The following is a 14,457-nucleotide window of genomic DNA, read 5'->3' on the forward strand; positions in this document are numbered from 1 at the left end:
TGGTGTGAGCATGAGGGCAGGGCTCTGGGCAGCCAGGAAGAAAGAGGTATTCCTCAGGCTTCAGCCCCCTCGCTGTCCTCTGAGGCCACCCGGTAGCTTGGTCCAACCACTGGGGCTCCCTTAGAGGTACACTTTGGCCTCGGATGGCGTAGCTGTCTGTGCCAAGGCTGGCGTTGCGCAGCTTCTCACACTCTGTCATTCTTAACGTCTTCTTGGCAGTCAGTCTCTCTGAAAAAGTAGAGCTGTCTTTGTCTTCTGGGGAGGATCCTGACCGTGGGAAAGTCTAGGATGAGAAGATGCTGGGACACAGGTTGGTGGTGGGAAGGGCACCAGCTGTCCTAAAGAATCTCTGGGTGCTCTCCATGCCCCTCAGCCCCCCAAGAACTGAGGCTCAGCAGCCAGCCCAGTCTCAAGGCCCGCAGAGGGCCTCCCTGTGGCATGGTCCATAGCCTCATGAGATCAGATGGATCAGCCATGAGGCTGTACCTACGCCACTATTGCCCAACCAACATCCAGGCAGGAACTGGCAGCCTCAAGTGACTTCAAGGGCCCTCAAATACTTCCTGCCCGAAGAGCCTCTCTTGGGACCCTCAAGAGTCTCTCCTTCCTATTTTCTGTCCTACCTGCTTCCCCACAGGGCAAACAAAGGGGCAAGATAGGGAACAGGCTGAGGCATCCCCATCACAGCAGATGTTCCAGGAAGCCCTTGCTGCAGAGCATGCCCAACCTTTACCTCTCCAACCTGACCATTCCCGTAGAGCACTTCCCAAGATATCAATTTCCTAGTGACCGTAGAGCCAAGTGTGTTTCAAGGCATGGGCATGGCTCCTTTTCTCCAGAAGTCAGGTGGTAGATCTGCCAGTTAGGGACTGAAGAGATTTTAGCACTGGATAATAGACTGCAAGCTACCCCACCTGGCAACGCCAGAATCCAGCAGCACTTTCACTCAGCAACAGTCTCCTAGCACCAACACCCCAACAGCCCCACCTGGTAATCCTGCCCTGACAGCATCGCACTATGTTGGAAATACCACCTCGAGCCACCAGAGCACATGTGAGAGTGCCAAGCAGGTGACGAGAGATTCAAGTGCACATTTTGACCTATGACTTGGGGTTTTATATGTTGGCATGTTTCTGAGGTTGAATTACTTCTCCCCTGATTCTGCCCTTGGCCTGCCAGTACTTGAGAGGGACTGGCCAGAACTTGAGAGGGGCCGCATGTGCAGTGTGTCTACTGAAGTTGTGCGCATGCTCACTTGAGGCATTTTTCCCTTTACCAGTCAAGCATTCCTAAAGGAAGTTCATGTACCAGTTAAACTCCACCATTTTCCCTCTTAGTGCACATGCTTGACCCTATTTACCCAACTCCTGAGATGTTATCGGGAAGCTGCTGATGACCAGTTTCAGATTTTTCCATCTATTGGGAGATTCTTTCCCTGTTGCTGGCTGCGACCAATTAATACTTTAGAGAGACAGTTTGACAACCACCTGACTATCACCTGATGGTTGCCTGACATTCTTGGGAATGTCGGGAGTGCCTCTCCTACCCTGCTCATGTGTGACTACCTACTGTAACGCTGCCACAGAGTGTGAAGCTGTCTGTCCCTCAGGAAAGAGTTCTCGTTCTTGCTCCTGCTGTTCTAGATGGAAAGAATATTGCTATGAAGAAGGGGCCCAGGTCTCTGCTCCAGTCTCCTCGTGAGACTGCCCTCTGCCCACTATGGACTGGAGCCTTAGCAAAGCCTCATGGGCTTATGCCCATAATGCCAGCACTTTGGGAGGATCGCTTGAGGCTGGAGTTCCAGACCAGCCTGGGCAACATAAGGAGACCCCATTTCTATTATAAAAATAAGAACAAAACACTTAGCACAGTACTTGCCCAGCATACAGTGCATGCTCAATAATTGGGAGATGTTGTATTGGCAGTGTCCTGATTCAGTTAATGGTGCATGAGTGCTGGAGAGCTCAAGTGTTTAGGAAAAAGCCTCAAACTGTGTTTTTCCTCTACTCTCACACTACCACCACAATAATCATCAACACAGAAGACATCTGTGACCAAAGGTGTGGGAATTTTTCCCCATACCAAATGCATAGTGTTGGTGATAGTGTCAGATATGTGGAGATAATGTCAGATTTCACAGGTTGAGGGCTCAGCCCATGAGACTGCTCCCCAACCCTAACCCTAGACACCAGTCACAAGCCCAGGCCTCTGGAACTTCTGACCTACTGGCTTCAAGTGGGGTTCCCATGACCCTCTCTTTGAGTTCTATTAATTTACTGGAACAGCTCACAGAACTTGGGTGAACACATTTACAAGTTTATTATAAAGCATATTACAAAGGAAACAGATGAAGATATGTATAGGGCAAGGTATGGGGGAAGGAGCATGGAGCTTCCATGCCCTCCCTGGGACCCCACCCTACAGGAACCTCCATGTGTTCAGCTAGCCAGAAGCTCTCCAAACCCAGTCCTCGGACCTCGGCAGGTAAAGAGAGGGCAGGAGAAAGTCAGAGAGATTCTGTTTCCTGAGCCCTGTCTCTGAGCCCTAACATCAACATTATAACAAAAGACTAACAAAGGCTATGGGAGTTATGAGCCTGGAACTGTAGACGAAAACCAATACATGTATTTAACACCACAGGCCACCCCCTGGTTTTCAAACACAGATCCCTTACATCAAAAGATGTCAGAGCTGAGAGATTAGAAAAAAGAATATACATTTCAAAAGATACTGCCACATCATTAGAATCCCATTCAGTCATTAATAATTAGTCCAGTCCATCATATTGTATGAACATCTCCCACACTGAGGCCACTCAGGTTTGCAGGTTTCTTTTTCTTTTTTATTATTTTAACTTTTTTTTTTTTTAATAGAAATGTAGTCTTGCTTATTGGCCGCGTGGACTCAAACTCCTGGCCTCAAGCGATCTTCCTGCCTCAGCTACCCAAATGCTGGGATTACAGGTGTGAGTCACTGCACCTGGCCCAGGTTTCCTTTTAATCTTGTTAAGTTCCAAAAGCAGGAGTGGTCTTGGCAAACATAGAGCTTCACTCTTTCAGGCATTGTGTAATTGAGCTAAGAGACAATGTCATCTCCGGCTCTGAGCCTATTTTAAGGTGTTAATGTAACCCATCTATTCATTTCTTTACTCTCAGCTGTTATTTCTCCTTTTCTCAATTTGTCATTTATTCTTACCCAAACTTTTCCACCTCCAGAAGGGACATGAGGTTCATTCAGTGCGCTGGTCCAGATCACTGGTAGCAATGCTAGTCTGGCAAGTGTCTCTCCCTCAGTCCATTCCCATTCATAGAGGGTAGGGTTACATCGGCTCTGAAGGAGTGAGCCATTTTACCACCAGGCAATATAGGCGTATTCATTCTGTTTTTTTTTTTTTTGACAGAGTTTCACTCTTGTCGCCCCAGGCTGGAGTGCAGTTGTGCGATCTCGGCTTACTGCAACCTCCGCCTCTCGGCTTCAAGCGATTCTCCTGCCTCAGCCTCCTGAGTAGCTGGGATTACAGGCACCCACCACCATGCCCAGCTGATTTTTTGCATTTTTAGTAGAGACGGGATTTCACCATGTTGGGCAGGCTGGCCTCAAACTCCTGACCTCAGGTGATCCGCCCGCCTTGGCCTCCCAAAGTGCTGGGATTACAGGCATGAGCCATCATGCCCAGCCAGGCATACTCATTCTTAACCCCAACTTTGCTAGAGGGGTGAAGGCTACTCCCATCAGGCCGTTAGGAATTCTGACATAAGATTTAAAAACACAGTTAGTTTCTTGCTTAGAAATCATCCCTGCTTCCAGCACTTCAATTGTAGCCGTGGTCCTAGGACCACTGCTGAGGTAGAAGAGAAAAAAAAAATTTTTTTTTAGGTGATTCGGGGAAGAAAAAAGTGTACTCTTCCCTCGGCAAGAATTGCATAGTCATACCAGCATCCTCCCACCTCCTCCTCCCCACATCAACCAGAAAAACAAAAATGTAATGAGGACCCTCCTCGCTTTTATCTCCCCCTGTTTTACATAACCATATGTTTCAATTGCCTGTTCTATTTCTCTCTCAAACTATTACTCTAAGGAGGATATCTCCCTCTGTCCATTGTTGGACATTATGGGCGGTACAGTGTGTTCTTTGGTCTGATAAAATGACAGTTGGGCATCCAAATCCGTGCAATATCTTCTGTTCTGGTTTCATTTTTAAATTTTATTTATTTAGTTTTTTAAGACTAGTCAAGTGCAGTAGTAAGAAGCAGGGAAAGGGTAGAACAAGGAGTTCCATCTGTAACTGACTGTGCACAATTGAGATAACTCAGTACCTTCAGACCAGCCTGTGTGTTTTTTTTTTAATGGCACTCTGAGCGTTTTTATCTTTCACTGTGTAAGCAAAGCCCACCTCAGAGTCAGTGTTTATTTCTGTCAAGACTCTTTTTTTTTTTTGAGACGGAGTCTTACTTAGTCGCCCAGGCTGGAGTGCAGTGGTACGATCTCGGCTCACTGCAACCTCTGCCTGGTGGGTTTAAGCAGTTCTCCTGCCTCAGGCTCCTGAGTAGCTGGAACTACAGACACATGCCACCATGCCCAGCTAATTTTTGTATTTTTGTTGAGACAGGGTTTCGCCATGTTCGCCAGGCTGGTCTCAAACTCTTGACCTCAAGTGATCCACCCGCCTTGGCCTCCCAAAGTGCTGGGATTACAGGTGTGAGCCACTCTGCCCGGCATGTCAAGACCCCCCCTTTTTTTTTGAGACGGAGTCTCGATCTGTCACCCAGGCTGGAGTGCAATGGTGCAATCTCGGCTCACTGCAACTCCTGCCTCCAGGGTTCAAGTGATTCTCCTGCCTCAACCTCCTGAGTAGCTGGGATTACAGGTGCATGCCGCCACGCCTGGCTAATTTTTCTATTTTCAGTAGAGACGCGGTTTCACCATGTTGGTCAGGCTGGTCTCGAACTCCTGACCTCGTGATCTGCCTGCCTCGGTCTCCCAAAGTGCTGGGATTACAGGCGTGAGCCACCGCGCCTGGCATGACCCATTTTCAATCCCCACACTTTCAGAGGTGGGAGGATACCTTGAGGTCAGGAGTTTAAGACCAGCCTGGGCAACATAGCAAGACCCTGTATCTGTTTAAACAAAAATTTTTAAAGACCCATTTTTAGCCCTTCCCGGGTTTCCAACATCAGTCTCACTTGCCAGTTGTGTTTAGGGCCTTCCCATCAGGAAATCTGTTCCATAGCCATTGGCAGTCTCTGTCTCTCTTACCGACCAACAGAGCAGTTTTTACTGGCATTATGTGCCTGAGAGGAAGCAAAAGGAACATGTCTAGATTCAGCCCATCTCTATACTGCTGCAATACCCCCATATCCACTCATTTCATGGACACAGGTGGCCACCTCTAGGGAGTACACAGAGATATCTGCTTGTCAACTCTAGTCACCTTCTGAATGCGAAAGGGAGTTCTGACAGGTGTTAACTTATTCTACTGTAATACACCCCTCAAATTTCCATAGAGCCATGCTCCGTATGGGCATCCTTTAATAAGCCAGGTTTCCATTGCCCTTTTACCTGAGTGTATGGCCAAGCCATTGGTCACTGCCCATAAGTCAGTAGAAACCCAAACACAAGGGCTTCCATCACTGTTCAATTCTTCCATTACTGTTAGAAAAACAGCATGCAGCTCAGCCCACCAAGTTGATCTATTTTTACCATCCAAACAGGATGTTGTTCATTCACTTCGGAACTGCAGTCTGTAAACCAAGCACCTTGGGCTGGCCACTGTGGCTCACACCTGTAATCTCAGTGTTTTGGGAGGCTAAGGCAAGCGGATCACCTGAGCCCAGGAGTTCAAGGCCAGCCTGGGCAACATAGCGAGACCTTGTCTTAAAAAACAGAAACAAAAATAAGCCAGGCATGGTGGCTTGTACCTGTAGTCCCAGTTACTCGGGAGGCTGAAGTGGATGGATCGCTTGAACCCAGGAGGTCAAGGCTGCAGTGAGCCATGATTGAGCCACTGCAGTACAGCCTGAGTGACAAAACAAGACCCCATCTCAAACCACTCCCTACCCAGCCCAGGCACAGTGCCTCACACCTATAATCCTAGCACTCTGAGAGGTTGAGGCAGGCGGATTGCCTGAGCTCAGGAGTTCGAGACCAGCCTGGGCAACACAGTGACAACCCGTCTCTACTAAAACACAAAAAATTAGCCAGGCGTGGCAGCATGTGCTTGTAGTCCCAGCTACTTGGGAGGCTGAGGCAGGAGAATTGCTTGCCGGGAGGTGGAGGTTGCAGTGAGCCAATATCACGCCACTACACTCCAGCCTGGGCGACACAGCGAGACTCTGTCTCCAAAAAAAATAAAATAAAATAAAACATAAAAATAAAAAATACCCGCCCCCCTCCCTCAAAAAAAAGCACCTCACAACAAAACCAAGCAGCTCCTTGTTGGTCAATTGAGAGCTGTTCATACTGGACTGTCCAAGTGTCAATGGAATCCAGCAGCTCCTCACACAGTTTCAGTGTCTGTCTTGGGGTAAAGAGGCTCTCTGCTTGAGTGTCTCCTCCTTGCACTCTTCAGGTAGCACGATCCTGTATAAACCATTTTGATTTTATTATGAAACACTTCTGGGCACTGCCATCCCCATTAGAGTATTTCTCTGATATCACTGAAAACATCATGGGTATTTCAGGTTTCAAGATTATTTTATGCCCTTCGGTCATAGGGACAGCTTTAGTTTATGTTCCATAACAAGGTAGTAAATACCCTTCAAGTGGAAATTCTCTAGTCCAAAGTCCCAGGAGTCGTTGCTGGGAAGTGCTCACAGCCTTTTGCCAAAAGGCCAGGAAATGTTCAACATAGGGCTATCGAATGAAGAATTTGAACCTACTGGTATTCTATCTTCTACTCTGCACCATGTGGGCTTGGCAGACTTATAGGTTACCGTTTAGCATGTTCAATTAATAATGCTTGAAGGGCAGATTTACATGCCTTCTGTTTTACAAAACCAGGTAGGGGAAACATTCTCCAATAAGATACAGTGTTCATTCCCATGCTACAATCAGGTAAAAGAGATGCAACCACTTCACATGAGGTGTATTCAAATATACCAACTTTCAAAATCCTATCAACTCTTACATTTTTATGTCCTAGTTTCAGGAACTTCTCCATCCCTAGACCATTTTACCCACTCTTGTGCAAAAAGCTTTGGGTTCCCAGCCAGGGGTTGAGCCAAAGGACCCTGGCCCTTTTGCTTTTGGCTATCTTTATCTTTTTTTTTTTTAGACAGGGTCTCGTCCTGTCGCCCAGGCTGGAGTGCAGTGGTACAACCATGGCCCACTGCAGCCTCAAACTCCTGGGCTCAAGTGTACCTCCTATCTCAGCCTCCTGAGTAGCTGGGACTACGGGCACGTGACACCATGTCTGGCTAATTTTTTGAATTTTTTTTTTTTAATATGGGGTCTCCTTACGTTGCCCAGGCTGATCTTGAACTCCTGGCCTCAAGTGATCCTCCTGCCTCAGTCTCCCAAAGGGCTGAGATTACAGACATAGGCCACCACACAGGGCCTCAATTTACATCTTTTTTTTTTTTTGAGATGGAGTCTTACTCTGTTGTCCAGGCTGGAGTGCAGTGGTGCAATCTCGGCTCACTGCAACCTCTGTCTCCCGGGTTCAAGCCATTCTCCTGCCTCAGCCTCCCTAGTAGCTGGGATACATTTTTGTATTTTTTAGTAGAGGCGGCGTTTCACCATGCTGGCCGGGCTGGTCTTGAACTCCTGACTTCAAGTAATCTGCCCACCTCGGCCTCCCAAAGTGCTGGGATTACAGGCGTGAACCACCACACCCTGCCTTGATCTACATCTTGATTAATCTGTTTGACCGTTTCCCTAGGCAATTTCAGATCAGATTTCTCATTGTAATCTCTGCCTTCCAGATTTTTCAATTTCTCCCAGCTGGGGGAAATATAGGAAACTGGTTTGGGGCCCTTTAACATTGGGGACCAGTAAGGGTTCCCTTTGGTCCACCCAGGCTTCAAAAGTGTTGTATTAAGATCTTTGTTTTAAAGCCATCAATTTTCATTTTATTCATTCAGTTTTGAAAATAACCATTTAAAGATTTTCACCCCATGGGGATGAGTCCCATAACTTCTCCCTTTCTTTTTTTTCTTTTTTTTTTTTTTTGAGACGGAGTCTCGCTCTGTCGCCCAGGCTGGAGTGCAGTGGCGCAATCTTGGCTCACTGCAAGCTCCGCCTCCGGGGTTCACGCCATTCTCCTGCCTCAGCCTCCTGAGTAGTTGGGACTACAGGTGCCCGCCAGCACACCCAGCTAATTTTTTTTGTATTTTTAGTAGAGACGGGGTTTCACTGTGTTAGCCAGGATGGTCTCGATCTCCTGACCTCGTGATCCGCCCACCTCGGCCTCCCAAGGTGATGGGATTACAGGCGTGAGCCAACGCGCGCGGCCAACTCTCCCTTTCTTTTTCCTCTTAGTTTCATCCCATCAACCCTATCAATGTTTTCTTTCTTTTTTTTTTTGAGATAGGGTCTCACTCTGTCACCTGGGCTACAGTGCAGTTGTGTGATCACAGCTCACTGTAACCTTGACTTCCCAGGCTCAGGTGATTCTCCCACCTCAGCCTCCTGAGTAGCTGGGACTACAGGCACGTGCCACCATGCACGGCTAATTTTTAATATTTTTTTGGAGAGACAGGTTTCGCCATGTTGCCCAGGCTGGCCTCAAACTCCTGGGCTCAAGCGATCTGCTTGCCTTGGCCTCCCGAAGTGCTGGGATGACAGGCCTGAACCACAACGTCTGGCTAAATGTTTTCTTTATTCATCTTATTTCTTAATAACCGTTTAAAAATTTCAGTCTTCTTAGGATGAGTCTTTTGACTCTACCTTTTGCCTTTTCTCATTCTCTTGTTAACTAACCTTATGCTTTCATTAGCATCTCTAAGACCCATGAATGGAAGCTGAGACAGCAAATTTGAACTGCTGTTTGATTCTGCAGGAGTAAGCTTACATGGGGTGCCAGTGTAGAAGAGGCTCCTTTAACCACAGCACTTAGCATGACTTGGGTAATGGGCATCTTCAGTGGGTGAATGTCCCTGCCATCATAAAGCCAGTCCCATATGGCTTGCATATGAAGCATATGGGCTGCTTCATCTGGGGTGGTCCCCTTGGCATTTCTAGGTGGAGTTGGACAGTCCCCGCTTCTCAGGGTAAATAGATATTATAGTGGCTTTTATCCAGTCCACTGGATAAAACCAGTCCAAGGCTGGTCATTCCCTCAGAAATACATCTTTTGTGTGTCTGAATCACATATACCCATCTGCCATTGTTCAGTAGTGAGCTGTGGGTCCTGCATCAACCCAAACAGGCTCTTCCACTCCGCAGCAATTAAAACCAAAGATCCTGCTCCTAAACTACTTACTCACAGAATTCATTTTCGTAAAAGTTCCTCAGGAAGCTGATGATAAGGATCTACAAAATGGAATAATTCCTTCACACTATGCCCTCTGGTTTCAATAGTTACTTGGTTTTGCCCTCCTCCCACAGTGATTACTTTCTTGGTAAACACAAGTCTTAGAAGTACTTTCTGTTGTCTCTGCATAATTCTGCCCTGTGGGGGCAGCTTTGAGGCTGGTGGCCTAAATTCAGACTGATTGAGGTCTAAGCTGGTCTAGCACCAAGGTCTCACCCAGCATTCTCTTTTAATTTCACGTTAGCCATTACAGATAATAACCAAGGAACTGAATATTTAGCTTTTTTTTCTTATTAATTTGCATTTCCTTATGCATGTAGTCAATCAACTCCCTGGGAGTTGGAGCCATCTCTAAATTTCCCTGGTATCTTTGACTTTTAGTACCTAATCTAGGTACATACTACGTGTGTCCCTGTGGCTTCATACTATGGGTGAGCACATGGCCACCCAGGAATCAAAGGTTCCTCATCTTTCATCTTTTTGTACTTTCTTTTCCCAAACCACATGTTTCCTTGAGCCTGGATCAGCCCAGAATATCCCACTCCTGACACCAGTTGTTTAGGAAAAACCTCTCAAACTGTGTTTTTCCTCTACTGTCACACCACCATCACCACAATCACCAACATAGAAGAATGATCTGACCACGGGTATGGGTTTTCTTTTTTCCCCCCACACACTAAACAGTGGACACCAGCTGGGTGTCCTCTCATTCAATTCCAACACTACCTACCTGGAGATAGTATCAGATCTCATAGGTGGAGGGCTCAGTTCCCAAGACTGTCTCCTGAACCCTAGACACCAGTCACAACGCCAGGCCTCTGGAACTTCTGACAAGCTGGCTTCAAATTGAGGTTCCCATGATCCCCTCTTTGGGTTGGATTAATTTGCTGGAGTTATTTACAGAAATCAAGGAAACACCCATGTTGACTGGTTTGGGATACTACAAAGGATAAAGATGAAGAGATGCATAAGGTGAGATACGGAGGAAGGCTTGTGGAGCTTCCATGCCTTGGCTGGGACATTACCCTCAGGAAGCTCTGTGTATTCATGCTAGCCAGAAGCTCTCTGAATCCAGTCTTCTCAGAAGTTTTTTTTGGCTGATCTCAGCTCACTGCAACCTCTGCCTCCTGGGTTCTCCTGCCTTGGGCTCCTGACTAGCTGGGACTATAGGCACACACCACCACGCCCAGCTAATTTTTGTATTTTTAGTAGAGATGGGGTTTCACCATGTTGGTCATGGCTGGTCTCGATCTCCTGACCTTGTGATCCGCCTGCCTCGGCCTCCTGAAGTGCCGGGATTATAGGCGTGAGCCACCGCACCCAGCCAATTTTTTTAAAACTTAAAAATTAGACAGGCATGGTGGCACATGCCTGTAGTCCCAGCTACTCAGGAAGCTAAGGCAGGAGGACTGCTTAATATACTAGTCTGTTTTCATACTGCTATAAATAACTGCCTGAGACTGGGTAATTTATAAAGGAAAGAGGTTTAATTGGCTCACAATTCAGCATGGCTGGGGAGGCCTCAAGAAACTCCAATCATGGCAGAAGACAAAGGGAATGCAAGGCATCTTCTTCTTTTTTTTTTTTTATTTGAGACAGTCTCGCTCTGTTGCCCAGGCCGGAGTGCAGTGGTGTGATCTCGGCTCACTGCAACCTCCGCCTCCTGGGTTCAAGTGATACGCCTGCCTCACCCTCCCAAGTAGCTGGGACTGCAAGCGCGCACCACCACACCCAGCTAATTTTTGTATTTTTAGTAGAGACAGGTTTCACCATGTTGACTACCCTGGTCTCAAACTCCTGACCTCAACTGATCCACCTGTCTTGGCCTCCTAAAGTGTTGGGATTATAGGCGTGAGCCACTGCACACAGCTGGCATCTTTTTCACAAAGCAGCAGGAAGGAGAAATGCTGAGCAAAGGGGGAAGAGCCCCTTATATAACCATCAGATCTTGTAACAACTCACTCACTGTCATGAGAACAGCATGGAGGAAACCACTCCCACGATTCAGTCACCTCCACCTGGTCTCTCCCTTGGCATGTGGGGATTGTGGGGGTATGGGGATTATTAGGATATAATTCAAGATGAGATCTGGGTGGGGACACAAAGCCTAATCATATCACTTGAGCTGAGGAATTCAAGGCTGCAGTGAGCTATGATCGTGTGTGCCACTGCACTCCAGCCTGGAGGAGAGAGCAAGACCCTATCTCTAAGAAAATAAAATAAAAATAAATAAAATGAGGGTAATAAAAACAACTCTCTCCAGTGGTGTTGTTGGGACTAAATGAGATATAAAGAAAAAAAAACAGAAGTAAATGAGATAGTATATTTAAAGCACTTATGGGGCACGCTGCCCAGCATACCAGTGGCTGCTTGGTATTTGGGAGCTGTTGTATTGGCGGTGCCGTGATTCAGTTAGTGGTGACAGTGAGTGTCTCTAGTGCTGTGTTATGGGGCTCTGTCCTGACCAACAACATGGCTGGTGGAGTTGAAGTTGCAAGGGACAGCCAGATCTAAATTTAGAGTGAGAGAAAACAGTGAGCCATAGAACCAGCATCCACAACAATTTCGACAGGCTGGAATAAGCAAGATGACATTGTTCTGTTGTGAGCCTCAAGACATTACAGAAAGCAGAGGATCGGGGAGAGACCTGACTTGACCCCAACTCCGGTGAAAAGGATCTGAATGATTTAGTTGACCACAACCTGATGGGAACTAATCATGGGAGAGAAAGGCTCTGAAGCCCAGCAGTCTTAGGCTGCATTAACAATGTGTCGCATCCAGACTGGAAAAAATAATAGGCCTATTGTGCTGGCTTGGTCAGGCCATATCTGGAATCTTGCGTTGCTACACTGACAGACTGGAATCAGGCCAGGAGGGGGACCAGCCCAGCTTCAGCTCCCAGGCACTTGTGCTAAATGCTTCCTGTGCATTTTCTTGTTTCATCCCCAAAACAAATCTATTAGGTAGCTACTATTAATTTTTTTTTTTTTTTGAGACAAGAGTCTTTGTCTGTCACCCAGGCTGGAGTGCAGTGGCACGATCTCGGCTCACTGCAACCTCCGCCTCCTGGGTTCAAGCGATTCTTCTGCCTCAGCCTCCTGAGTACCTGGGACTACAGGTGTGCCCCACCACACCCGGCTTATTTTTGTATTTTTAGTTGAGACAGGGTTTCACCATATTGGCCAGGCTGGTCCGGAACTCCTGACTTCGTGATCCACCCACCTCAGCCTCCCAAAGTGCTGGGATTACAGGCGTGAGCCAGGGTGCCTGGCCAGTAGCTACTATTAATATCACCATTTTACACAGGGAGGTTAACTGAGTTGTTCAGAGTCAGCCGCACAGCTAGTAAATGGAGACACTTAGGGCTTTTCCTAATGGGTTTCTGTGTGCTTGTACCTTAGCAGGGGAAGACTGAACATTCATTCACTGAACACAATAATTCAGGCCCTAAGCTAGTTGGTGGGGACACAGAAGTGAAAAAGATGCGGTTCCTACCTGAGGAGCTCATTGTCAACCGGGGGATACAGATCACTTGTGGTATGGTGTGACTGTGGGAGAGAAGATTTGGGGGCTGCAAGGGAGCTTAGCTAACCAAGCCTGGAGAGGGGAAAAGAGACAGAACAGTGTCACACAGCTTGGAGTAATGGGGCCAGCCATTCCCTTTCCACAGTATTCAGTGCCTCACTTTGGCTCTCTTCTGCTCAGCAATGGCCAAGAGCTGTGTGCCCAGATGGGATCTGCTGGCGTATGAGGGAGCATGGTGTGACCATCCTGGGGCAGATAGACCTTATCTCTCCTCCCTGCAATCAGAGATTTAAAGAAAGGAAGAAGGAGGCTGACATTAAGGAGCACAGGAACCGGGTGGGTAGCCTTTGAGAGTTCCAGCAGCCCCTTCACTAATCAGAGAACTGGAAAGACCGGGGTGACATTGACATAAGGGACTCAGAGGTGGAACTAAAGACTGTTCTTTTCTGGCATCCGTGCCTGCCTTCTGTTCCAAACTAATGCCCTCCCATCTTCTTTTGAGGACCACATTTCTGGGCATTCTCTTTTTCAAAACTTTCCCTGTTTCAACCCTCAGTGCCTCTGGAGCCATGTATCTCCCAGGGCTTCTTGTTGGGAGACACATACACCCCATTCTGCCGTCTGTAATTTATGCTAAGAGGGATAGAGCAGGGCTGTTGAGAGCAACTGCTTTGGTATCGGACAAAACCTTTCAGGCCTGGCTCTGCTACATAACAGTTGCTTCACTTCTCCAAGTTTCCCCTTCCTGTGCTGTAAAATGGGGATAATAATAGTACCACCCTCACTTGGTGGTTTTTGAGGGCCGAAAGAGATCATATTAAGCATGGAGGAAGCTATCCATAAAAAGGCCACTGTTGTCATAGTGTACTAGCGGGCGTAGCCCCGGCTTCTCTCCACGACTTGGGAGCTCCCTTCTGGCAGGGGCAGCCACTGGATTGCCTCATCTTTCTCCCCATTGCCCGGATGCCAAGGGCAGGACGGGGGAATGGTGTGTCTTCGGGGATGAGAGAGAGGCATCAGGAGGGAAAGTGTCAGCGTACGTCCTCTAGGCTTGAAGAAGGAGAGAGGCCCTGACTCCAGATTTTAAAGTGGGCTTCAGAGCCCCTACCTTTCCTAGGCCTGGGGCTCAGAAGTCATGGGTGGTAGGCCCGACTCGGGGAGAGTCGGACCTTGGGGACCTCGGGGACCTCGGGCAGATCGGGGACCCCGGGCAGATCACTTTCAGCCTGGGGCCTCGGTTTCCTCGCGCGTGTCTGGGAGGTCTCGCGGCCTGCTTCTCGGATTGCTAGGAGCCAGCGCAGGCAGATGCCGGTTCCGGGGCTTGGAGAACGTGGCTCGGTGGCACAGAGCCGCCGGGCGAGGCGGGGGCAGGGAGGCGGGCGACGGGATTGGCTGGAGGCGGGGCAGCGGGGCTCGGGGATTGGCCGCAACCGAGAGGGCTGGGCAGAACTATAAGAGGC

At 48.1% G+C, this 14,457-nt stretch overlaps 2 annotated features.

The window, feature by feature from the left end:
• Positions 3,571–4,093: an enhancer, noted in NCBI's record as "H3K4me1 hESC enhancer chr1:40409912-40410434 (GRCh37/hg19 assembly coordinates)". NCBI's record gives its function as "activates a minimal SCP1, AML or CMV promoter by ChIP-STARR-seq in primed H9 embryonic stem cells {active_cell/tissue: H9 hESC(primed)}" and the evidence as "EXISTENCE:reporter gene assay evidence [ECO:0000049][PMID:30033119]".
• Positions 14,298–14,427: a silencer, noted in NCBI's record as "silent region_717". NCBI's record gives its function as "represses an Ori minimal core promoter by ATAC-STARR-seq in GM12878 lymphoblastoid cells {active_cell/tissue: GM12878}" and the evidence as "EXISTENCE:reporter gene assay evidence [ECO:0000049][PMID:35858748]".

Source organism: Homo sapiens, chromosome 1 (genome assembly GCF_000001405.40).
Source record: "Homo sapiens chromosome 1, GRCh38.p14 Primary Assembly".
Classification (NCBI taxonomy): domain Eukaryota; kingdom Metazoa; phylum Chordata; class Mammalia; order Primates; family Hominidae; genus Homo; species Homo sapiens.